The sequence below is a fragment of the Homo sapiens genome, chromosome 12 (assembly GCF_000001405.40).
Source record: "Homo sapiens chromosome 12, GRCh38.p14 Primary Assembly".
NCBI classification, from domain to species: domain Eukaryota; kingdom Metazoa; phylum Chordata; class Mammalia; order Primates; family Hominidae; genus Homo; species Homo sapiens.
In genome coordinates, this window is record NC_000012.12 from 112,242,524 (window position 1) to 112,269,444 (window position 26,921).

Sequence of the window (26,921 nt, forward strand, 5' to 3'; positions counted from 1 at the left end):
GATCGCTTGAGCCTGGGGAGGTCAAGGCTGCAGTGAGCCATGATCACGTCATTGCATGCCAGCCTGGGTGACAGAACGAGAATCTGCTTAAAAAAAAAAAAAAAGGCTGGGCACGGTGGCTCATGCCTGTAATCACAGCACTTTGGGGGGGCCGAGGCAGGCAGATCACCTGAGGTCGGGAGTTTGAGACCAGCCTGGCCAACATGGTGAAACCCCATCTCTACTAAAAATATAAAAATTAGCCAGGTGTGGTGGCATGTGCCTGTAATCCCAGCTACTTGGGAGGTTGAGACACGAGAATCACTTGAACCCGGGAGGCAGAGGCTGCCATGAGCCAAGATCGTGCTGCTGCACTCCAGCCTTGGTGACAGAGTGAGACTCTGTGTCAAATAAAAAAAAGATAAAGCAGACCAGACCTATATGTGCTGATATGAAAACACAGATATCTGAGATATCTAAGACATACTGAGCAAAACAACCATGGTTATAGAAAGGCATGGATAATATAATCTGAATTAAGTTGAAAAAAATTTACACACAAACACAGTTATGTGTACAAAAAGAATTATACAGCTGCTTATGCATGTATGGTTGCTGTAATGAGCTCTTAATGGACAGAGTGGAATTCAGGAGAAGAAGGTGAATACTGAGAGTTTTACGTTCTATTAATATGTTGAGTTTTTTGCAAGATCATGTACCACTTTTATATAAATATTTTAGAGGAAAACATTAGCAAATACTACCGCCTATGTTTGGGTCCCAAGAATAATCTTTTGAATGGCTCTGACCATTCTAGAAAGGACAGTATAAACTAACAGAAACAACTAACCTGGGTCCTCCCTGAAGGACCATCGTCACTGGACCCACAAGATGCGTCACTCCCCCGACTCGTACGGCAGCTGTCAGCAATTCCCGCATGTGCACCAGTGCCTGCTTGCGAGTGTTTCCCCGCCGCCACCTTGTCTGTGCAGCCAAAAGGAAACTGCTGCTGGACACCTGAAACACACAAGGAGGGACACCTGACTCCTGCTAACTGCCGCAAGACCCCGCATGCTGTTAGGTGCTATTCATCTGGAGCCCGCAAAATGTGACGTACAGCTTGGTCAGGGTTGGTGCCGATGAAAGCAAACAGCTGCCCTAGCAGGACACTGTAGGTGGGCTTGTCCCTGCTGTCCTCAATGGCCAGCGACTGCAGGAGTGTAAAGGAGCTGCTGCGGTGGCTGGTCACGTGGCGACGCCTACGGGGAACACAGAACAGACTGGCAAGACGAGAAACACACTCAGGGAGCTTGTTTTGATGAATGCATTCAGCTGCATGTGGGAACCCAACCCCGGCCATTAGCCATTTACCTCTGATTTGCTCTAGTAAATTCCAAATCTTCATTACCAATCATTTCCAGGTCAGAAGGAGCTGACATGCTGCGAAGAAAAACAGGCTGCCTGACAGCGTGAGATATCACTTTTGTTTCAGAAGCTGATTTACAAGCTAGAAAAAAAAGGAATAAAAAGGCTGACATTTCTGCTATCTGTACAACAGCCAAATGCAACACAGAACTACCCAACAGTCTAAGTGTATCTTTGCTTTCTATCACAGTTCAGCCACCAATCTAGCTAGCACAGCATACTGATGGTTTTTACATCAATTTTTTAACCTAAGTATTAGGTTAAAAATTATTTTAACTTAAAAAAATTAAAATCTTTTTATTAAATTGGTTTTCCAAAGAAAAGCTGAAAAATTCATTGAATTTCATAGCTATCCATGTTCACTTTAATGTAAGCATTCTAAAAAGCAATGGAGGACATAGAAAGTATTGCCGAAAATCACAAATTTCTTTTTTTTAATTTTTCAATTTCTTATTTTTTTAAGATGGGTCTCGCTCTGTCACCCAGGATGCAGTGCAGTGGTGTGATCTCAGCTTTCTGCAACCTTCATCTCCCAGGTTCAAGCAATTCTCCTACCTCAGCCTCCCAAGTAGCTGCGATTACAGGCGTGCACCACCACGCCCAGGTAACCTCTGTATTTTTTTAGTAGAGACGGGGTTTCGCCATGTTGGCCAGGCTGGTCTTGAACTCCTGACTTCAAGTGATCTGCCCACCTTGGCCTCCCAAAGTGCCAGGATTACAGGTGTGAGCTACCACACCTGGCCCAAATTTCTTAATTCAAATACATCCAAATCCATTTTTTTCAGAGATGGCCTTTTTCCCTGCTTTAACCCCAGATATATTTAACTGATTTATTGTCATTTAATGATACCTCTGCTTTGATCATAGTTGGTAGGAATAAATATTACACTTGAGTTGGAATCTGAACTGGTCTTTCTATAAGATATACTCCTTAACCCTATCCAGGGAAATAGATGTTTTATAAAACAATCCTTAAATGGAAGAAGATAAAACTATATGTCATGAGTAGCTAAGAAAAAAAGATGTTGAGAAAGTGCAGGAAAAAAAACATTTTGTTTTATTTTTCTAAAATTTTCACTTATTTATTTATTTAGAGACAGGGTCTTGCTCTGTTGCCCAGGCTGAAGAGCAGTGCTGCAATCATGGCTTACTGCAGCCTTGAACTCCTGGACTCAAGCAATCCTCCCAACTCAGCCTCCCAAGTAGCTGGGATTACAGGTGCATGCCACCATGCCTGGCTAATTTTTATATTTTTTTGTAGAGACCAGGTCCTGCTATGTGGCAAAGCCTGGTCTTGAACTCCTGGTGTAAGCGATCCTCCTGCCTTGGCCTCCCAAAGTTCTGGAATTACAGGCATGAGCCACTGTGCCCAGCTGAGAAAACCATTTTGTATCTGTCTTAAGAGTGGTTAGACAGCTTAAATATAAAAAAATTATAATTTTTGAAGATACTGTTATCTCTGAGGTCAAGAGCCTCTGGGACAGTACTAACAGCCTTACCAAGTGGTCAGGTCTATATACAGGACCTTTAACAAGGGCTTATGTGTATAGCAGACCATCCTGGCATGTGATTGTACCACACACTCTCTCCCAAACCTGTGTCTTCCCCTGAAGTTCTCAGGGAGAACCTGTATTAGAGAGCGAGACCCTGGGAGTCCTCCTAGACTTCAAATCCCAAGTAAGAAGAGCCTTAGATGACCAGCTGGGATGAAAACAAGTTTGCCTGCTCTCTACTGCCCACTGGGCAATGGGGCTACGTAACATGGACTCTTTCATTTAAGAACTTGTTTATTTAACTTTATCTCTCAGGTTAAGAATGAATGCTTGTGGGCTGTGCCATGTTACAGATCCTGTCTTAAGTAAGAAGACTCAATGATTTTCCTGAGAGATGCATTTTTAGGCTAACAATTAAAATGTGACCTAGGCCGGGCGTGGTGGCTCACGCCTGTAATCCCAGCACTTTGGGAGGCTGAGGTGGGCAGATCACCTGAGGTCAGGGGTTCAAGACCAGCCTGGCCAACATAGCAAAACCCTGTCTCTACTAAAAATACAAAAATTAGCTGGGCATGGTGGTGAGCGCCTGTAATCCCACCTACCTGGGAAGCTGAGGCAGGAGAATCGCTTGAACCCAGGAGACAGAGACTGCAGTGAGCAGAGATTGTGCCACCGCACTCCAGCCTGGACAACAGAATGAGACTCCGTCTCAAAAAAATAAAAAATAAAATAAAATAAAATAAAATAAAATAAAATGTGACCTAGAAAAAGTTAATTTCCAGGAAGTCATACCACAAGGTTCCACATAATTATTAAAGATGAAATGCAAACTCAGCTTCAAGTAAAGAGGAAAAAAGTTACAAGATTTATGATGTTGACTAATTGTATATGTTACTATGAAATATAATTATATATGTTAGTATGAAAACAAAAACGGGCGCAGTGGCTCACACCTGTAATCCTGGCATGTTAGGACGCCAAGGTGGGCGGATCACCAGAGGTCAGGAGTTCGAGACCAACCTAGCCAACATAGTGAAACCCCGTCTCTACCAAAAATACAAAAATTAGACAGGCATGGTGGCATGCGCCTGTAATCCCACCTTACTCAGGAGGCTGAAGCAGAAGAATTGCTTGAACCTGGGAGGCGGAGGTTTCGGTGAGCCAAGATTGCGCCACTGCACTCTAGTCTGGGCGACAGAGTGAGACTCAGTCTCAAAAAATAAAATAAAATAAAGAAAACAAGAAGTTGACCGCAGGAATTTAATGACATACAAGTATTTCTTTGTTTTTCTTTTGTCACTCAAGTGCTTTGTACAGAAAGTATAAGGCAAAATTAAATATGTTAAAATTTCCTTTTGTTTTCCTTTCTCAGAGTACCCAAGAGTGAATTTTTCAAAATATAGCTGTGTGTCTTATATGAACAGAGTATATTCTCTGTTCATATAACAGAAGCCGATTAGGGGCTATCTTTGAGCAGTACCTGGTGTTTCAGCAGGGGTCCCAGAGATGCTTCTCGTGAGGCCCGACTGGGCTGCGATGGTGACATGCAGCAACAGCTCGGCTCGGTTCATTAAACTCTTCACTAACGTCTTTGTTTTAGCCAGTGGGTGTGAGGGTTTCTGAATAAGAGAATTCACTTCTTGTAGGAACTTCTCCCTATAAAGAAAGACTGATGTGCATTGAGTTGTTCTCTAGCTTATCAAAAACAACTATTAAAAAAAAATGTTTACAAAGAATAAGAGAAGACACAGGGGAAACTAAGCAAAAGTAACCTAATCAACATTGCTTACTTCCCTGTTTCCTCATCCAAGTAACACTGTTAGAAACTCTGGCCACTTCTGGCTCCTTTTTCTGTTTCAAATGCCTATGCTAACTTTGGAAGGCTAAAACCAAAATTTCCAATTTACCAAATGAGTTCCAACTCTAAAATATTTAGTAAATTCACAACATTTAAAAATATATCTATTAAGAGACTAGACCTTTACAGTGTGTTTTGAGCATCAAGGTGATAATAGCCTTAATAGTTATTAATACGACTAACCTCAGTGATAGGACCATGTTTTCAAGATCATTCCCATCAAAGGAGACTTCCTTCATTGAACATAAAAGTTCTAGTTCTTTCATTTTGTTCTAAAGAAAAAAAAGATGGTATGCAGAATCTGCAAGAACCAAGTTTTACTATACATATATTAAAATGAACAGAAAATTTCAGAGAAAAACCACCACCTTTGGTCCACATTTCTATGCTTGAAACTCATTTGTAAGTTATTATTTGATATTTTAATGATTAAAAATGGCATTGACTACTTTCTGGGAATTCTTTCAGGGCTTATAATTTTGCCTATTTTTTGTTTTTTAAGGCTTGAAAGCAAAATTTGACCATGATGACAACTTCTTTATATATCTTTATAAAACTATTAATCAGTTAAAAAAACAACCTAATGAGTAATTATTTGTATACTGCATGTTGATCTAATCAATTTTCATTTAACCTCTTTTAAAGAATGGGTACATTTTTGGAGTGTGCAACATTTTAGGAAATGACATTATTTTACCTACACACACACACACACACACACACACACAGTATATACCTTTGCTCTCTAAATGGCAATACCCCAGTGACAAATCATACAATTTGCTCACCTCATTAAAATGGTAATCATAAAAGAAAGGCATGTTGTTCTCCAGTTTCCCCTGCATGGCATCATCAACTTCACTTTGCCATTTTTGTTCCAGTTCTGCAACACTCTAATAAATACATTAAAATAGATGCAAAATAAAAACAAGTATGATTCAAAATTTTAGTCACAATAGTAATTTTAAAAATTAGATCACATTCTAAATTTCTTTAAATTTCCATAAAAGAAATTGTTTCCAACAGTTATCAGACATTTACCTGCAGCTGTCTCTCCATGGCATTGAGTTTCTTAAAGGTCTCTCCCATAATTTTACATAATAAATCATATTCTTCAGCATGTTCTTCTTGATATTGGAAATTTATTAGAGACTGCAGTGCATCAACCAAGTTCAAGTGCTTAATAACACAAGATACCACCATTTCCTCCATCACGTCTGGCTGAATCACTTCTCTGTGATCACAATGGAAATCAGTCAGATATATGCCATGCTCTCAGCTTCTCAATACTGTATTTTATTTTTATTTTTTATTTCTTTAGAGACAAGGTCTCCCTCTGTCACCTAGGCTGCAGTTCAGTGGAGCAATCATGGCTCACTGCAGCCTCAAACTCCTGGGCTCAAGGGATCCTCCTGCCTCAGCCTCCCAGGTAGCTGAGACTACAGGTGCATGCTGCCATGCTCAGCTAATTTAAGAAAAAAAATTTTAGGGTGGCGGTTTCTCACTATGTTGCTCAGGCTGGTCTTGAACTCCTGGGCTCAAGCGATTCTCCTGACTTGGCCTCCCAAAGTATTGGGATTACAGGCATGAGCCACCATGCCCCAGGCCCAAGAGAGTATTTTACAGGTTGGAGAACTTAGGCTTTGATCTAAAGATATTAAATATTCACCACACCTCCTTTATTACAATAGAGTAAGAGGTATGAATAGTATAATGGCATTGTCGGAGTCTTACGTTGGCAAATAATTTAGTATATTGACTGATAAAACTGACATTGGCTGATAAAGCTGAAAATCAAGAGTAAAGAGACTTCAGCCTGTAATCCTAGCACTTTGGGAGGCTGAGGCTGGCGAATCACTTGAGGTCAGGAGTTTGAGACCAGACTGGCCAACGTGGAGAAACCCCGTCTCTACTAAAAACACAAAATTAGCCGGGTGTGGTGGCATGTGCCTGTAATCCCAGTTACTAGGGAGGCTGAGGCAGGAGAATCTCTTGAAACTAGGAGACAGAGGTTGTAGTGAGCCAAGATCACATCACTGCACTCCAGCCTGTGTGACAGAGCGAGACTCCCTCTCAAAAAAAAAAAAAAAAGAGACTTCATTTTCTATGATTGCTACATTTTGAGTTAGAGACATATTAGAGCTGGAAGAGGGCTAAGGCTAAGAAAAGATCTTCAGCAGCATCTATCCACTAATTAATTTTATGCGGTATTATGGCCTGCAGTGTTCAGTACATATGGATGTTGGGCTAAAAACGATAGTGTTTTCTGTATTTTTTTCATTTTAAATTTCATATATTCTCTAAAGTTTTCTCTCTGAAAACCTGCCTCAGGAGGCAGAGCAGAGGCCTGCAAAACAGACTTGACTTTAAGCAAGAATACCACAGACATTTGTAACTGTATGTACATTCTACATTAGAGAACTCCTCACCATTTCTCTAGGCATCAAAAATAAACACATGTCTCTAGACTCTGGAAAGTAAAGTAGAGGCTGACTGCTAGTAGAAGGTCAAAATACTAGAGATAAACCTAGCACTTGTCACACTTTAGCATGCATCAGTCAAATGGGAAACTTGTTAAGCTGCGCCCCATCCTCAGACCTTCTGATTCAATAGGTGCAAAATGGGGTCCAAGAACCAACAAGTTCCCAAGTGATGCCAATGCTGCTGACTGGTGGGCCAAATTTTGAGAGCCCCTAGTCTGGAATACTGCCTGGTGGGCCCTCTAGACTCAGTTAATTTTAACATTCATGGAGTAAACATAAAATTAAAGTTTCATTTACTAGACCACAGAAGAAATATACCCATTTCAATTGTTTAAACTTTTTTTTCCCATTGGGAAAAGTAAAACACTACACAGCAACATACTTTATACTTGGTCTAAATTGAGGTCTAGCACGCCCAGAAATTTCCCTGAGCTTTATCATGATTCCTGGAGGCAGTCTGATCCGAGGCAGATCAAAGTAGTTTCCAACAGGAGGCACGAGGACATCAGAGGGGTAGGTGAATTCTCTGTCTTCCTCTATGGTCAGAGGCAGTGGAGAGGGGCTCGGAGTAAGGGCAGGGGAGATCACGCCATTGGCCTCCACCTGCCACTGGCACCTGAGCAGACAGAAAAGAGGCTCTTCACTTCCTCTCTCAACAAGAGTATTGGAAAGCTATTGGATGTTTGCAGATACATCAAACATATGAAGGATCACATTCTGTGTTAAGTAATTACTCATCAAACCTTCTCCAGAAGCTAAAGACAAGTGAGCATTGTATGAAAGCCCATCTTTGGGGATCTAGCTCCCCCCCAATATTTAATCATTAAAACTTTTAAATGTACAGAAAAGCTGAAAGAATGACATGGTTAATATCCACAGACACACTTGTCTAGATTGTACAATAAACATTTGCTGTGTTTGCTTTATCACACATCCACCCATCCTCTTGGGATCATTCAATTTAATTAGACAATAATTGTGTTGGAGAAAAGCTTATGCAGTTCAAAGATGTAATTTTAAATTTAGTAAAGTAAGGGCCAGAAAGCACTATGGTGTAATTTTCATCTTATTTTTCTTAGACACAATGACACCCATGAGATTGCCAGGCAGTAGGCACAATCACCTGGGAAATGTACCAAAAGGATTTTTCCACATAAAGTCCTTTTTCCTTTGCAGGCAACACTAGCTCAATTTCAACCTTTTTGTTACCTTTGTAAAAGTTTGGACCGCAATAGCTCCTGACAGGCTTCTTCTTCTTTGGTAATTTCTGGTCCATTGTACAGGATTCTTAACATGGAACAAGCTAACACAGACAGACCTAAAGCCAGGTCTACCAGAAAGGGCAAGCCTCCTGAGACATCCTCCGAAGACTCCTACAATGCAGACAGGGGTAAACCACACTGGTCAGTGTACACTGGCAGAGGCTGCTACCTGTGCTGCCCCACACTGCACTGTCCCCAACCACAGGGTTCTACAGAGCAGCATCGAGTATCACTGCTAGGGGACACAGGTACAGCACCCAAATCATGACTAGATGGTGGCACTGGAATGACCAGAGTGAAGTCTCAACACATTTCTGGAGAGAAAATAGTTGATCAGACCCCATATACAATAGTACAAATCAAATAAATAGTACAAATGAAATAAAGAAGCCTGATTCTTTGATAGCTTCCTCTCTGTTGTGCCCACCTAAGTATAAATCACTATTTTGTTTTTTCACTTCCACCCTGTGCTCAAACTGTGATGTTGTCAATGACTGCAGTGAATTCATTCAAGAAATATTTACTGGGTGTCCTCTGTGTGCCAGCCATTGTTCTAGGTGCCTGAGATACATCAGAGAATGAAATGAAGATCCCTGCTCTCACGGAGCTTACATTCTAGCAGTTAATGCCACTCTGGAGAGTCTTAGCTTGGTTAAGCTTAAGAAACCTCAAAGTCTAAAATACGTTTTCGGAATCAGGCAACTGGAGGGGTAAGTAGGATGCTTAAGTACTCTGTTTTTTGTTTGTTTGTTTGTTTTTTAATTTTTGAGACGGAGTCTCACTCTATCACCCAGGCTGGAGTACAGTGGCATGATCTCAGCTCACTGCAATCTCTGCCTCCTGGTTCAAGCGATTCTCCTCCCTCAGCCTCTCGAATAGCTAGGACTACAGGTGCCCACCACCACATCTGGCTAATTTTTGTATTTTTAGTAGAGACGGGGTTTCACCAAGTTGGCCAGGCTGATCTCGAACTCCTGACCTCAGCTGATTCACCTGCCTCAGCCTCCCAAAGTGCTGGGATTACAGGTGTGAGCCACCACGCCCAGCCGGATGCTTAACTACTCTTAAAACCCAGGATCTAAGTGCTTATTTCTATTAAGTTCTATTGAGTCCTCTTTGCCCTGTGGAAAGATGCTGGGGTCAGGTCACCTCCCCAAACTTTGAAGAGGGAGCTCCAATCAATAGATTTATTTCTGTGCTGCTGAGTTGATTTTAGGTCATGGCTAGTTTTATTCTGTAAAAGTACTACTAACTGCTAGTAGTTGACTAGTGCCAACTAGAAGAGAAAGATGAAAGAGTGACTCATATTCTGCCCTGTTTCCAAGGCAAATATGCTGTATGTAATCAAGGCACATAGCAGATAGTACATTTTGTCCACGGCAGTGGTTAGATTCAAGTACCTGAGCGCGAACTGTGCAAGCAAAGCCCCACATGGCTTTATCAGGAGTGTTGTGTTCACGGCCACTTCTCATTTCAAAGGAGAAGGTGACTGTATCTCCTTCCACCTTAAAATTTAAGGAAGGGGGGGAAATGCACTTTAAAAACAAGATACACAATTTCAAAAGAGCAATGAATTTCAGAGGTTTACTTTCAAAAAGGACCACAGCAATATTTCACTCCTTTTCTCATTTGCTTTTTGATTCAAATTCTATTCCCTCTCATTTAGACAACCAGTCCTTTAAGTGTCTCTCCTGATGAGGTCGCCTTTGGGATGAGGCATCTGTGAAATGGGCCACAGTTGCCCATTAGCAAGATCAAGGTAAAGGTTAATCAAATCTTGAAAATAATTTTTTTTTTTTTTTTTGAGACAAGGTCTTACTCTGTCACCCGGGCTGGAGTGCAGTGGCACAATCATGGCTCACTGCAGTCTCAATCTCCCAGGCTCAAGCAATCCTCCCACTTCAGCCTCCTGAATAGCTGGAACTACAAGTGTGCAGAACCATGCCCAGCTAATTTTTTTATTTTTTTTTTGTAGAGACAAGGTCTCACCATGTTGCCCACGCTGGTCTCAAATTCTTGGGCTCAAGCAGTCTGTCCACCTCAGCCTCCCAAAGTGCTGGGATTACAGGCGTGAGCCACCTTGCTCGGCCTTGAGCATAATTTCTCTCTTTTTTTTTTTGTAATGGAGTTTCGTTCTGTCACCCAGACTGCAGTGCAATGGCGCAATCTTGACTCACTGCAACCTCCACCTCCTGGGTTTAAGCGATTCTCCTGTCTCAGCCTCCTGAGTAGCTGGCATGACAGACACACACCACCACGCCCGGCTAATTTTTGTATTTTTAGTAGAGACAGGGTTTCATCATGTTGGCCAGGCTGGTCTCAAACTCCCGACCTCAGGTGATCTGCCCGCCACAGCCTCCCAAAGTGCTGGGACTATAGGCGTGAGCAGCTGCACCTGGCCATAATTTCTAACAAATGGCTTGCCATCTATGGCTGAATTAAAGAGAGTCCATAACATATATGAAATAAAGGCCCCGGGAACAGACTTTGGAGACATTTTTGGGTTTTAACAGACATTTCAGTCTTATATTCATATTCCAGGCAGATACACAGTTAAGTAGTTTGAGGGCCAAATTACAAAGCATGGCACTAATTTCATCAGTTTGAGAATGGATAATTGTTTTTGCTCCAAAGGCCCAAATTCATCTGAACACATTAACTCAATACTTTTACACTGCAATGGCCTTGTGGTTCTAGGGTACTTGTCAACAGGGAGTGTAGAGGAGAACTAAGCTGGAAGATCTAGCAACCCTTTTAATCAACAAGGAAGAAAATGCTGTGACAACTTCTATGCATGGAGTAACTTGTGAAAGGGAGTGAACAGGGGTCTGATGTCCTACAAGTGAAAGGAGGGTCATTCTGAATAGAAGGAGTGAGCTGACAGGCCTGGTAAGGTGGCTCCACCTCAACAAAAGCCCCCAGGGCAAATGTTTTTCTGGGATTACAGTTAGTACTTGGACCTGTGAGGACTGCAAGTTCATTTTCTTTTCTAGGAAGCGATTATGACTGAATACCATACCTTCACCAAGTCTTTCGGCCAACCAGTTCCTAAGACACTACGGCTGCCATATCCCAGTGTGTTGCCTCCATATTCAGCAACCTTCCTACTGTTTGTGTTAGGCCCCGCATATATCACCAACTTCAAAACAGAAAATATACTGTTAGACTGTAAAAGAAAAACAAAAACAACATCTACAAATAAAAAGGCTGCAAAAACATTTGTTTAAAATACAATTATAACCAGGCATTGGTGTCATTATAGTATAACTAATATTTCCCGATTTTTTTAGGTATAACTGATACTAGTTTGGATGCAATCAGTCATTGGTATTTACAGGGAAGCCACAGAGTAATAACAATTCTTAATAAAAAGAAGTATACTTTTTATATTACCACACTTTAATTGGCTTGGGGACCTCACATTAAATAGTTATACTCAGTTATTGTACATCAATATTTTTGAAATAGCTATTTTAATGCTAATTAATAACAAATAACTCATTAATAACAGTTTGGCCCCTTAAGTCCTCCCCAAAATTAATAAAGTGAGCAAATACAGATGGAAATATGGTTATATCTAACACAACAACAAAATAAAAGCACCAAAAAAAATCAATGAATAAATAAGAATTTTTAAAAATGCAACAAATTGAAAATAAGCCATATATTCTTAGGATGTTGCTTAATGGTATAAAAAGAAAATGATACAAATTTGGGCCAGAAAGGGGGCTGCTGCTTCTTGGGTCAGTTTTCATGTATCAATATTTCTCTAATTCATTTATAACCAGCTGGCTGACTTTCTAATCGGCAGAAGAAACATTTATAGCTCATTTGGCATTCAAAGACTTCCATAGGAAAAATAAAGCTCTGGCTTCTGTAAATACCAAACCCTGTCTTCTAATGTGCGCTCTGACTGCTTCTCACTGCATCTAAGTTCAGATTTAGTAGCTCTATCTTCAGCCCTGAATGCTTATTATTTCGTGATTTCTTACCCTTTGGGGCCTTTTGCTGACACCAGCCAGGGACCACTGGAAAAGTAAATGTACTTTTATCCATGTAGTAAGCCTCTTTGTGCTTCACCATTTAACACTAATGTCTACTGCAGGCATAAGTTAGCGCATATTGGAAATGCAAAATACAGTTTTTAAAGGAGAAACAAAACGACACCAACTAAAATGGCAGCCTCTCCCATTTCTATATTAAAAGTCACTTCACCTGAACCTGGGAAATGGGGGTAGCCAATGCCAGGAGCTATGAATTACGGTGGACTGATGCTAGGAGAGATATGTTTCTGAAAGGCCTACTAAAGATCATCTCATATATTTTCTTGCTTCCAGCTAAGGTGAGTTTTGAAGACAAGGCTTTGGGGACACCTGGGAATCTTCACTATCCTAAAAGATAATGGGGAAGAGGATTCTATAACTTGCCCAGAAATGTGTTTCACCATCTCATAGTATATACAGTTAAGAAGTCCTTTATTTTTAACCTAAAAACCTCCCCGGATAGAATTTTTTTAAAAGTCAGCCTCAGAAGTCAGAATCCCCTGCTAGGATTTAAGCCCATTTGCCCTCACACAGTTCACAGGGGAGAGAGAAAACAGATCACTAAGAAGCTACATAAAAATAGTATGCACGAAGCTATTAGATAATCCTCCAACTGTTCTTTCATATGTTACATATTTCATTAGCCTTTCCCCCTAAGACCACATGACAGGTTACAATTCAACAATTCTAAGTAGAAGAAAATGCTTCAACCCCTAAGATGCTTCCTTTCGTTCATAACTGTTAAGCCACCAGGTTGGAAACTACTCTTCCTCAAAAAAAGAACAAATGTTTAAATAAATATAAACCAGATCCTAGCACCTCTGAAACCCTTCTAAAAAGCCACCTTTTCCCAAAAGATACATGAGAAGCCCCAAGAATTGGGCAGTGAGACCTTTCTAGATGAATGGACATCACACATCTGGGGTAACTTCAAGCACGGAGGGAGGGCAGGGGGTAAGCAGAATGAAAAGGAACATTTCCTTCCTCTCATATATCTAAGCACCTGAAAGCTTACAAAGTACACTTTCAACATATCATTAAAACATTGTTCTTAGACTGCAGAGGTGGTGTTTCTTTAACTCCCTCAATCACTACCCTTCAAAGATAAGAACTTTATCTTAGGAAAGTTCTCCTTAGAGATATCTGCAGACAGAAATCAGTCAAGAATGGTGACCAGCAGCAAAGAAAAATAAGAAGCATCTAAGAATCAGCTTACTCGAGGTGGAACCAATAGTAACCCAGTTCTTACTTACTTTGTCATAGTCATATTGCGAAGAGCATCTGCTATCAAATCTAAGGTACAGGCAGCGAGCTCCTGGGATATGGACCGTTTCTTTAAATTTATAGTTGTCTCTGACGGGGTGGACTGTTTCCACAGTCTTTCCAGCAGCCCATGGGGCAGGAATCTTTAAACCAGTGAGAAATCCTGGCTCTTCCTTCTCTTCTAACATTCTAAACAGAAAAAGAGAAAGTGATTTAGCTTAGCAGCCAAGGAAAGGAAAAACAATGTAAACATTAAATTGCTCTTTAATTTTCCACAGCATGCAGTATGATAACACTGAGGCTTTTAAATGCTTGATATCAGTGGCAATCAGAAACATTTTAAAAATTCCTACATTTAAGGGTTTTTTCTTTCCTTGTTGTCAGATATTATACTTGCTTTTTTTTTTCTTTTTTGCCTTTTTCCAGGACAAGAAGCAGAGATATATTTTCATTTTTCCCTCTTTTTTTCAAGGGCGAAGCCCAGTTGATATCCAAGAGAAGACCTGATCAATTCTCATTTAAAGGTACTCAGAAAAAAAAAAAAGATACTGTAAAGGATCTTTAAGATTGGCCACTTTGCAAATCCCACAGGGTTAGCATCCTGTAAACATTTCCTTTTGTTGATATCTACATGACAATTGTTGAAAACTCCAGGAGTCTACATAGCTACTTTTCACCATAATTTTTACTAAAGAAAGGTGCCTTCAAAGGTTCTCTTACCTACTGTAATTGAACTCTCAAGGACGACATGGAGCCTGAGGTTGTGGAATACAAACTCCTAAGACTTAAACTTAGTTACCATGGAATTCTCTTATTCTTTCAACTCCGAAGCTTGAGCTGCAAAGCCTTACTGTCCAATATGGTAGCTACTAGTCACATGTGGCCATTTCAATTAAATTGAATTTAAATGAAATAAAATTTAAAATTCAGCTCCTCAGTCACATTAGCTATATTGCAGGTGCTAAATAACTACCTGTGGCTATGGAACTAGACAGCACAGATAGAAGTTTTCATCACTGCGAAAAGCTCAATTCCATAGCCTGCTGCTCTAGAGAAACCCAGGAAATCTTTTTTAAAGACAGCTTTAATGCAACATAACTGACATAATAAATTGCACATATTTAAAACATACAACTTGATAAGTTTGGACATTTGTTATACCATTAAGTTTCCTTCTTCCTCTTTGTAACCACTCCATTTCTCTGCCAGGTGATCACTTATTTGCTGTCTGTCACTAGAGATTAGTTTGCATTTTCTAGAGTTTTATAGTATGTGGCTTCTTTCACTCAGGGTTAAGTATTTTGAGATTATATAAACATTGTTGTATATAACAAAAGTTCATTCCTTTTTATTGCTGATTAGAGTCCATTGTATGACTATATCACAATTTGCTTATCCATTCACTTACTGATGGACGTTTATGTTGTTTCCAGTTTTGGGCTCTTCTAACCAAAACTGTTACGAACCTTAATGTCAAAGCTTTGTAAGAACCTATGCTTTCTTTTCTTGTGTGAATACCTAAAAGTGAAATAGTTGGGTCATACAATAGGTGTATGTTTAACTTTTTAAGAAACAGCCGGCAGGGTGTGGTGGCTCACGCCTGTAATCCCAGCACTTTGGGAGGCTGAGGTGGGCGGATCATGAGGTCAGGAGTTCAAAACCAGCCTGGCCAACACAGTGAGACCTCGTCTCTACTAAAAAATACAAAAATTAGCTGGGTGTGGTGGCGTACGCCTGTAATCCTAGCTACTCATGAGGCTGAGACAGGAGAATTGCTTGAACCCAGGAGGTGGAGGTTGCAGTGAGCTGAGATTGCGCCACTGCACTCCAGCCTGGGTGACAGAACAAGGCTCCATCTCAGAAAAAAAAAAAAAAGAAACAGCCAAACTGCCTGCCAAAGTCATAATATTTTACATCCCCACTATTAGCATATGAGAATTTCAGATCAATTTTGAACTAATCTCTTGATCCATGGGGAAATTTATGCTAACCAGTTGCTATAAATCTACAAAGCAATGCTACAGTTATCTAAAATTTTCATTCTGAAGTCTTTTTCTTTTCACAGCTAGATAATCCTTGCTAAAAATCATTTTCATAAAAGGAGTACTACGCTTTCACCCAAAGAAAACAAGAAAAGGGTTCCTGCAAGGAAGCAGCATTCATTACCTCTCATCAGGGAACAGCCTGCACTTCTGGTCTGGTGCACCACACGGGGAACAGCCCACCTCAGCAAAAACCGGACACTGGGTTTTAAGCAGCAACGCCGTCTGAAACACAAAACCATCATTATGTCTTCCAGGGCTACTGTCAGTTATCTGAATGGTATGACAGCCAAACTTAGAGGTCTCTCTTAAATCATCTTTTTACAATCCTAGTCTGCTCTCCTTCATTAAGAAATGCTGTGCTACTTAGACCACTTAACATTATTTTACTTAATGCTGTAATGGAATGCATCATTTATATTAGCTACTATTAGCTGGCAAGGACTCAGGAGACAAACTATAATGGTAGGTTTTTGGTAGCATTGTATATTAGCATTTTTATAGCTGATCAGCCATGAACACTTGCTAAAAGGTTGCAGTTAGTAATTTAGTCAAACAAATAAAATGTTTTCCCTTATTATTTATTTTTATGACATGATATTTTTCTTCATTCCATCATTATTTCCCTTGGTTTCTGAAAGGCAGGATTATGTTTATTCTGTCTTCAGTGAAAGCAAACAGCCATCCTGTGAAGCAGGTTGGCCAAAAAGCAGTTCACTTTGGCACACCAAGGATCATACCTGGCTGGTATAGAGTACCAGCTGCACTAGCTGAGGCATCAGGGCATCCGCCATGATCAGAGTCTGTAAATTTGGATGCATCAAGGAGGTCAGTAACACTGGAAGAAGGTGACCAAGCATAGTAGCCTTAGTAACTTGTTCCAAGCCTTTTAACCTACAAAAAGTTCAAGAAAAACACACAGCCTAAGCAATGCCCAAACATGTGAAGAAGCACTAATGTCATCTTTATCTGACAATTTCTCCTAAACTGCACCTCCTTAAACTACTTAAGCACTTTCAGCGATAGCAATTCAGTCCACAAATTTTCCACCTTCTGCCACTGAGGGAGAGGGGAAGAACAGAAATAAAGCTATTAATAGATTTCACCTTCAGTCTCTGATTTTTGCCAAAAAATTTATAAGCTGCCTTTTTTTTTTTTTTTTTTTTTGACAGGCTCTCACTCTTGTTACCCAGGCTGGAGTGCAGTGGTACGATCACAGCTCACTGCAGCCTTGATCTCCTGGGTACAAGTGATCCTCCCACCTCGGTCTCCCAAATTGTTGGGATTACAGGTATGAACTACTTAGGTTCTAGGTTCTAGGTTGCTACATGGTGCATTTCATAGCACCTTTGAAGCACTTTACAAATGGATTCTAAAATGCCAATGGCTACTACCTGTAAAGTTCTCTTGCCTCTGGGGCTGCTGGTCACTATGCTACACAGTGACTCTAAACAGGAGGAAGTGAATGGCTACAACATTGATTCACCTGCCCAGAGCTGTGACATCCATTACTGGTCTAGAGAAACTGAGGCTTGTCTGGGGCATGCAGAAGCAGGCAGATTTCTTCCCCCAATTTTTTTTTTTATTATGGTAAAATAAACATAGCACAAAATTTACCATCTTAACCATTTTAAGTGTACATTTCAGTGTTATTAAATAATGTTGTGCAACCATCACCACCATCCATCTCCACAACTCTTTTTGTGTTATAAAACCCAAACTCTATGCGCATTAAACAATAACTCCTCATTTTCCCCTTGCCCCCAGCCCCCGGCAACCACCATTCTACTTTCTGTCTCTATGATTTTGACTCATCTAAGTAGGCAAATTTTTAATTTATCTTTAAAATCACATTCTTAATATCCCTGTCCTCTGCTAGAAGAGTTAAGGAATGTAGAAAGAAATGGATTATGTAAATTCCTTAAGGCTACTTAGGATATTGGTAGTGGAACCAGAAACCCAGGCTCTCCCATTAGACAGAACTACGTATTACTAAGCCTCAATGCAATGCCTATCTGGGTTATACTGTTCCCAATCCCAACCTCCTATCTACTCTCTGGGAGTGGGTAAGAACCAAGTCCATAGGAACAGACAGGGTTACGGAAGCAAAAATTACACTGTAGGATTCTTTTAGATCTACAGCTCCAACATGCAAATTGTCAAAAAACACAGTATTCAATGCATCTCTAAAAACAAACCAGAGCAGAATTTTTTTTTTTTTTTGAGACAGAGTCTCGCTCTGTCACCCAGGCTGGAGTGCAGTGGGATGATCTCGGCTCACTGCAAGCTCCGCCTCCCAGGTTCAGGCCATTCTCCTGCCTTAGCCTCCTGAGTAGCTGGGACTACAGGTGCCTGCCACCATGCCTGGCTAATTTTTTTTTTTTTTTTTGTATTTTTAGTAGAGATGGGGTTACAGCAGAAATTTTAATGTGAAAGGCTGAGAAAGGGCTTTATTACTGTGAAAGAGAAGTCTGCCCTCTATATAGGTCAGCCATGTATTTGGAGAAGTAAAATTACAGTAAAATCTTGAGGTACCACATCAGTGTCATCCTTTGTGTAGCAGTTGGTAAGTCACTTCTTCCTCCCAAAAGTCTTTATCATGAGGAAACTAAGTGTGCATGGTGCTGACCTTGATAATTAAAGGAAAGGCCATTTTGGGAGTGATGGCAGTAGAAGTCTCAAGTGGCAGAGATTAGGCTGTGCCCTCCACAACCTCGCTACCCTTAGATCATGGCTGTTGGCCCAATCTCACCTGAAAGCACATGAAAGAGTGTGACTGCACTTGGCTTTCAAACACTTGCCCTTTTAGCCTATTCTCACAAAAATCTCTCTATATAAAATTGATCCTTCTATATTCTAAAAAGATTTAATTTCAATAAACAAACTTTTCTTCCCACAGGGCAGCTGGTCACAGCCCACAATCCATTCCTCACCTCTGCTCACGGTCTGCTATGTCACTATTTATGAGGGCAGTTGTGACCTGCTGTAGCATTTCCAACACTTCATCACATCCAGTCAGGATTTGGGTGGCAAGAGCCAAAATACTGACTTTTAGCTCCTAGGCAGAAAATATCATCATATTATTTTTAAGCTTTGTGATGAACATACGTTCACAATGACAACATGAAATGATGTATTTAATGATGTATTTCCAAATGAAATAATGAGGTGGACAGAATAAGCCCAAAGCAGTAAATTCTGCTAGAAATAATGAGGTGGCCAGAATAAGCCCAAAGCAGTAAATGGCAAGTAGCAATTTGGGAGGCCAAGGTCTGGAGAGCTGACAGAAATACGCAGTATTTCAGAGGGATCACACTGAGTCCCTAGGAGAAAAGGCTCCCATCCCAGCCAGCACAAGAAATATTTCCCATCCCATCCAGCACAAGAGAGCTCCTGGTGGCCAGCCCAGAAACTGTCCAGGTGGAAGACTGCCTTGGGTGGTATGAGGATAGCTAAAGAGAAAAACAGAACAGTAAAAGGCGCATGTAGAGGCGGTGAATAAAATGAGACAAAAACACAACATTCTAAAACAGTACAAGTGACCTTTTACTCAATGTCCTAAACAAATCACAGTTAAAAACAGGCAGTTAAAAAAATTCAATTAAAGTAGCAAGCAGTTACAGGCTATTAAACATTAAAATAACTATTAGAGAGTTCGTGGGAGTACAAATACTAAATAATGTGTTAAGAAAGACTAGCTAACATCATAGAAATGTTTAGTTTACAATTATTTTCAGTTAAAAAAATACAAACTCTTTGGGGGACATGTTTCCCCAGAAACCTAGACAACTGAGCCTATTCAGCCTTTCCTAAGAGTCTTTACATTTCTATGTTTAATTAAGAATTTACTAAGGCTAGGCCGGGCACGGTGGCTCATGCCTGTAATCCCAGCACTTTGGGAGGCCAAGGCAGGTGGATCACTTGAGGTCAGGAGTTCAAGACCAGTCTGGACAACACGGTGAAACCCCGTCTCTACTAAAATTTCAAAAATTAGCTGGGCATTACAGATGGGCGCACATCTGTAATCCCAGCTACTCGGGAGGCTGAGGCAGGAGAATCGTTTGAACTCAGAAGATGGAGGTTGCAGTGAGCCGAGATTGCACCACGGCTCTCCAGCCTGGGCGACAAAGAGAGACTCCATCTCAAAAAAAAAAAAAAAAAAAAAAAAAAAGAATCTACTAAGGCTAAAATTTAGCCTTCAAATAGAAAAAACTTTCTCATTGTTGGAATTTTCTGGGGTCTTTATTATTATTATATTTTTTGAAACACAGTCTCACTCTGTCACCCAGGCTGGAGTGCAGTGGCATGATCAGGGCTCCCTGCAACCTCCACCTCCTGGGTTCAAGCAATTCTCACGCCTCAGCCTCACCAGCAGCTGGAATTACAGGGGAGTGCCATCACGCCCGGCTAATTTTTGTATTTTTCAGTAGAGATGGGGTTTCACCATGTTGGCCAGGCTGGTCTCTAACTCTTGGCCTCAAGTGATCCACCTGCCTCAGCCTCCCAAAGTGCTGGGATTACAGGTGTCAGCCACCACACCCAGCTGTTTTTAGTATTATTGAGATTTTTTTTAATCTTTAAGAGAGTAGGAACTCTGAACTAATGATGAGCCAAATCATGTTTTAAGTCACACTAATGACATTCATGATCATCTACTGACTCCATACCACATGGCAGCAAAGTGCCAGGTATTTACAGGGCTTGTTGTTAATACAGCAACTTTACAAAGAAGATGTTATTGTCCCTTTTTACTGATGAGAAAACTAAGGCAAGAGAAGTTAAATAAATATTATCAACAACTTAAATTAAAAGTGCATGTATGTCTGCCTATTTAAAAATGGATTATACAATGAGGTAAACTCATAAGTACAAACTATCAGATGTATTATTTAAATAGTATATATGCATAAAGGAGTAAGAAAGGGGCAAACTGCATTGGCTTTTATCTTTAACTGTGGCTTCCTTGGTTGATTTTTCAGTGTGTTTAACATTTTAAGAAAGAATAAAGTTCTTGTAGATTTCTCTGATTCTCCCACAAAGATGAAATTCTGAAGAACAATGCAAACAACAGCCTTGAGCATCTGTCAAAATTATAACAACCATGGCTATAAAAAAATCTTTGGACTGCTATAAATTGTCATGTGGGAACAAGTTAGTGAGTTTACACAGAAGCTAATTTAAAAATAATCACAGAAAATGAAATTGACTATAGGTTTAGAAATTAGATTATTCCATACAAAGATTGAAAAAATTATCACCTTTTAAAAGTTATTTTAATCAAGAGAATATAATAAACCATCTAAAATTTTGAAATTATTTAATGCTCCCAAGATTTTTATATATATATATATATACACACACACACACACACACACACACATACACATATATATGTCTATGTAGCTATAACTTTCAGGTACACATGAGATCACTTGTAAGTGCCATATTTTATAGTTCTTAAAAGAAGATGGAAGTAAACAAAGGCACAAAAAGGTTGACAGGAGCACACGGATGACACATTATGAGTGTCACAAGTAGGTGACTACTGTGTAATGACATAAAAAATCTATGGAATGAGTGGCCTAATGTTACCTCTCACAAGAATATAAGCCACAAGGTGAATTCTGACATCATAAAACACAGAAATTTAGCCAATTAAGCTGCTTTTCACACTGGGTAGAACGCATCGTTAAAATAAAGCTTGGTGTTTACCTGTACCTTCAATGTCTCTCCCTGCAAGGAGCTGTCACTGTCATCATTCTCATCAGGTTTAATCAAAATAGTGTTACTGAGAAGGTGATTCTGAACTGCCATCAGATAGCGCAGGCAGGAGGATGCAGCCTTTAATACAAATAAGGGCATTTAAATGATCTAAATCCTACTGAAAGAGCGATCATGTAATCCTCATGTTTTTAAAAGATTTTGACAAAGAAAACAAAAAGAGAAATAAAAAAAACAGACCAAGTTAGTTTTTCAGGTGCCTTATTTCCACATGGCTTTCCATACATACTTTGACACACTTACTATAACTTTCTGCCTTTTGGTACACAATCCTCACTAATTAGAATACTTACTTGAATTTTTGCCTCTTAATAATTATTCTTCCCCCTCCCTCTCACACACATCTCCATTATAGAAGAATACTCAAACCCTTAAAAGAATCTTTTGATTCCTATTGGTCTCTATAAAACACTCATGGTTTAGAAAACAATGTAAAATTAAAAATTAATAGGGAAAAAACACTCTCACTAGATAAAACAAAAACTCCCAAATCTGATCAATTTATTGCATCAAGCAATTTAAGCAGGGGGAATAGTCTTTGGAAAGTTTTTCAAGTGGATTTGTCTAGTTCTACATTTCTAGGGTAAGTAGTAATCCACGGACTTTCATAAATTATTATTATTATTATTTGAGACGGAGTCTTGCTCTGTCACCCAGGCTGGAGTGCGGTGGCGCGATCTCAGCTCACTGCAAACTCCACCTCCTGGGTTCACGTGATTCTCCTGCCTCAGCCTCCTGAGTAGCTGGGATTACCGATGTGTACCACCACACCCTGCTAATTTTTGTATTTTTAATAGAGACGGGGTTTCACCATGTTGGTCAGACTGGTCTTGAACTCCTGACCTCAGGTGATCCACCCACCTTGGCCTCCCAAAGTGCTGGGATTACAGGCGTGAGCCACTGCGCCCGGCCTTTCATAAATTATTGTAAGTCTGTATGTATACACACACCTGTCAATATAATAAAATGAAAACAGGGATGCTTGATATAATTTTGCTTTCATTAAACACATTTTTACTTACAGGCACAGTTGAAAGGAGCTTTTGAAAATCATCTTTAGAGACAGTTTGGCACTTGGTGATTAAGATACAGGATTCTCGTACAACAATCTTCAGAATGTAGTGTAAAAGTTCATCATTTAGTCTTTAAAATGCAGGAAAAATGTAACAATAAAATATTGATGGTTTATTCATAAAAGGATAAATTTTATATAATTAGTATAAGATGACAAATAAAAGATACATAATTGATTCTTAAGCAAATCACCTTAGTAATAATGCTAACAACTAGGTATATTATTTAAATCAAACTTATAGAAATCAAATGGCACCCAACTACAAAGTCAAAGTATTTTATAAATAACATATAAAAACAACACCTTCGTCCCCTTCACCAGCTCTAACACACATACTCAGCCTTTCTCATAAACCAGCAATTTGGATGGTACTCTGAACCAAGATCTCCTAAGTAAGTTCCATCTGTTATTTTTGCTAAAGACCCTTTCCCCAGGCCCAACTTACTTTACTGATAAAACTGAAATGTGCAATTATCAGTTCTGAGGGGAACTGTGGAATCTATTATCTTTCAACTGGTCCATGCTTTAGGTTTAACATGCTAACGATCGTATTAGTTATAACAGGAGACTAAAGTTGATCAAACACATTTAAATGTAAACTAACGACTGAGAACACAAAGGCTAGAAGTGAATAATATAACTGGTGTCACCTGTAATGATCATCCTCATCACTGCCAAATCGGTTGTTTTGGAGCTGTTCAGCCAGGTTGGTTAGGATCACATCCCGTAGCTGGGAGAGTCCACTGTTTCTCTCTCCTAACACAGAAGAAAGCTCCATCAACTACCCTGGTAATGACTCCTAGAATACTGATGCTATTTTTAAAAAGTTTTTAAACAAATAGATTGTCGGCAAGCTAGGGGCACCAGACATACGGACTTATACAAATAAGAGTGGCAAAAACGACATCACAACGAATCCGACTTTTTAACCAGCATCCTGATTAAAGTGTAATTACCCTCTTGATAGATCATGAAGTGTGATTTTTTATTCCTTAATGTTGCTTTTAAATGCCAACTGTCTTTAACATAGTACCTTTTGTTGTGTTGTTTAGTCTAACTTAAAATGTTAGGCTCTAATGTGTGAAGATAACTGGCTTAGAAATCACCAATAAGTGATTATTTTATTTATTAAACATCTATAGTCAGATACATTATGCTAAGCAGTGGAGACAGAAAGTTTATAAAGCTTGCAGATATATAAAACATGGTTTTTGCTTTCAATCTGGTTGAAGTGTAAGCATATATGCAGATACATTCTTTCTTTTTTCTTTGAGACAGGGTCTCATTCTGTTGCCCAGGCTAGAGTGCAGTTGTGTCATAACAGCTCACTGCATCCTCAACCTCTTGGGCTGAAGCAATCCTCCTGCCTCAGACTCCTGAGTAGCTTGGATGACAAGGCATGGGCCACCATGCCCAGCTAATTGTTTTTATTTTTTGTAGAGTCAGGGTCTTGCTATGCTGGCCAGGCTGGTCTCGAGCTCCTGGGTCAAGTCATCCTCCTGCCTTGGCCTACCAAAGTGCTGGGATTACAGGTGTGAGCCACCGTGCCTGGCCTGCAGATACATTTCTTAAATATGCTGACTAACATACATGAAGAAGTGTAAATATTATCTGAATATGCAGTTGTTTCCTTGGGGACAAAAAAAGGACGGCTGTTCAAAGATAATTAAAGGATAATTCTTACCTTCTGTTAAGACCAGTTTAAGTAAGTTATTGATTTCAGTTTCACCTGGGTACAAGATATTTAAACCAGAGCTGAAATGACAAAAAAGTCAAAAACATTTAAGCAAATGTTCTAGAAAATCAACTCTAAATATTTAAATTCATATTTTTATTAAAGATGTCAATTGGATGTGAGGGCAATCTGGCTGCGACATCTGTCACCCCATTGATCGCTGGGGTTGATTCGGCTGATCTGGCTGGCTAGGCAGGTGTGCCCTTCCTCCCTCACCGCTCCATGTGCGTCCCTCCCGAAGCTGCGCGCTCGGTCGAAGAGGACGACCATCCCCGATAGAGGAGGACCGGTCTTCGGTCAAGGGTATACGAGTAGCTGCGCTCCCCTGCTAGAACCTCCAAACAAGATGTCAATTGATTACATAAAACTGTGAAATAACTTTTATCACTAAAAAGGCATTAAAAAAAAATTGAGACAGGGTCTCAATATGTTGCCCAGGTTAGTCTTAAACTCCTGAGCTCAAGCGATTCACCTGCCTTGGCCTCCCAAAGTGCTGGGATTGCAGGTGTGAGCTACTGCACCTGGCCTAAAAAGGCATTTGAACCTAAATTCACTGTCACGATCCAGTCCAATCACTTCCCTGATAAGTGGCATCCCTCTCCTCCTCTTCCTGTGAATTACCCAAATGATAAGTACTTGGGGCTAGATGCAGAACTGGTTAGAGAGAATTGGTAAGCTATGAAAAGTCAATGTAGTCAAGCCTACATATAACTATTGTGCCTCCCCAAAAAAACACTTGAGAAAGTAAATTTCTAATTCTCAGCTTTTCCGAAGAGAAGGGAAGAACAATATTGCAAATGGCATCAGAATCTTTTTTCTTTTCATTAATTTATTTGTGTGTGTGCTTATATGTGTGCATGTGTGTGTTTTAGACAGGATCTCACTGTCACCCAGGCTGGAGTGCATGGAGTGCAGTGGTGTGATCTCAGCTCATTGCAGCCTTGACCTCCCAGGCTCAAGTGATCCTCCCACCTCAGTCTCCCAAATAGCTGGGACTACAGGTTCTTGCCAGGGCATCGGGCTAATTTTGTTTTTACTTTTTTTGTAGAGACAAGGTCTTACTATGTTGCCCAGACTGGTCTCAAACTTGGCCTCGGCGATCCACCTGCCATGGCCCCTCAAAGTGCTGGGGATTACAGGCATGAGCTAACACACTCAGCCTCTTTTCTTTTTTAATTGAGGTTTAACATTTAATCAAGTGCACATATTTACAGTGTACAATCTGATAAGTCTGACATATGTATACACCAATGAAACCATCACCACAATCAAGATAGTGAATATACCCATCCCCTCCAAAAGTTTCCTCAGAGCATCAGATTTCAATCATTGCCTTAATGCTCCACAGAAAGAGATTCGAAGCATAATGTGCTGTGGAAGGAAAACAACTTCCTGTCATCTATGCTCACCCCTGTCATACAGATCTTTCAGACCAACCATTCAGCTCTCTCTTGGACACTAAATTATACTTAATCACTTTAAGGCTGTATTCCTGTATAAAAGTTTGCTGAGGCCAGGCGTGGTGGCTCACACCTGTAATCCCAGTACTTTGGGAGGCCAAGGTGGGTGGATCACCTGAGGTCAGGAGTTCGAGACCAGCCTGGCCAACGTGGTGAAACCCCATCTCTACTAAAAATACAAAAATTAGCCAGGCATGGTGGCACATGCCTGTAATCCCATCTACTTGAGAGGCTGAGGCAGGAGAATCACTTGAAGCCAGGAGGCGGAGATTGCGGTGAGCTGAGATCACACCACTGCACTCGAGCCTGGGCAACAAGAGTGAAACTCCGTCTCAAACAAGCAAAAAGAAAAAAAGTTCACTGAACTAAAAAAACAAACCAAAAAAAAAAAAGACTTACAATAAATAGAAAATGGCCTATAAATTCTGCTCTCTTGTCTGAAAAGGTTTTTTTTTTTTTTTTTTTTTTTTGAGGCGGAGTTTCGCTCTGTCGCCCAGGCTGGAGTGCAGTGGCGCGATCTCGACTCACTGCAAGCTCCGCCTCCCGGGTTCACGCCATTCTCCTGCCTCAGCCTCCCGTGTAGCTGGGACTACAGGAGCGCGCCACCATGCCCGGCTAATTTTTGTATTTTTAGTAGAGACGGGGTTTCACCGTGTTAGCCAGGATGGTCTCGATCTCCTGACCTCGTGATCCGCCCGTCTCGGCCTCCCAAAGTGCTGGGATTACAGGCGTGAGCCACCGCGCCCGGCCCTGAAAAGGTTTTAAACAGGTTGATAAAGGCTTGCATTGTTGAGCACTTACTTTGCATCAGGCCTTACCTTAGGAAAACCTCACAAACCCATAAAACAGGTGCTATTTTTATGCCCATCTTACAGCTAAGGAAATGCGAACCTTAAACCAAGGTCACACTAGTGAGTGGCAAAGTCTAGAACCCAGGTCTGCCTGTTGCCAAAGCCTGCTTCTTAACCACCCTGCCACACTCTGCAAAATGAGATCAGCTTGCAAACAATCAAAATATCCAC

At 40.4% G+C, this 26,921-nt stretch overlaps 1 protein-coding gene and 1 pseudogene across 2 annotated transcripts in view; one reads left to right on the top strand and one right to left on the bottom strand.

Moving 5' to 3' along the window:
* The window catches only part of HECTD4 (HECT domain E3 ubiquitin protein ligase 4), a 222,237-nt gene that overhangs the window by 82,329 nt on the left and 112,987 nt on the right, over window positions 1–26,921 (bottom strand). The window contains exons 14-32 of one of the 2 annotated variants that reach the window (NM_001388303.1): window positions 24,389–24,459; window positions 23,355–23,460; window positions 22,652–22,772; window positions 21,561–21,689; window positions 18,782–18,906; window positions 16,589–16,742; window positions 15,973–16,073; window positions 13,797–13,995; window positions 11,520–11,639; window positions 9,901–10,005; window positions 8,448–8,611; window positions 7,621–7,854; window positions 5,797–5,989; window positions 5,544–5,648; window positions 4,939–5,027; window positions 4,378–4,553; window positions 1,351–1,486; window positions 1,097–1,238; window positions 830–996 (exon numbers count right to left, since the gene is read on the bottom strand). In NM_001388303.1, the coding sequence (NP_001375232.1) occupies window positions 830–996; window positions 1,097–1,238; window positions 1,351–1,486; window positions 4,378–4,553; window positions 4,939–5,027; window positions 5,544–5,648; window positions 5,797–5,989; window positions 7,621–7,854; window positions 8,448–8,611; window positions 9,901–10,005; window positions 11,520–11,639; window positions 13,797–13,995; window positions 15,973–16,073; window positions 16,589–16,742; window positions 18,782–18,906; window positions 21,561–21,689; window positions 22,652–22,772; window positions 23,355–23,460; window positions 24,389–24,459 (2,637 nt within the window). Of the gene's footprint in view, window positions 1–829; window positions 997–1,096; window positions 1,239–1,350; window positions 1,487–4,377; window positions 4,554–4,938; window positions 5,028–5,543; window positions 5,649–5,796; window positions 5,990–7,620; window positions 7,855–8,447; window positions 8,612–9,900; window positions 10,036–11,519; window positions 11,640–13,796; window positions 13,996–15,972; window positions 16,074–16,588; window positions 16,743–18,781; window positions 18,907–21,560; window positions 21,690–22,651; window positions 22,773–23,354; window positions 23,461–24,388; window positions 24,460–26,921 lie in introns of both variants that reach the window. The other variant, NM_001109662.4, reaches the window with a different exon arrangement.
* On the top strand, window positions 24,554–24,792 carry RN7SKP71 (RN7SK pseudogene 71; annotated as a pseudogene).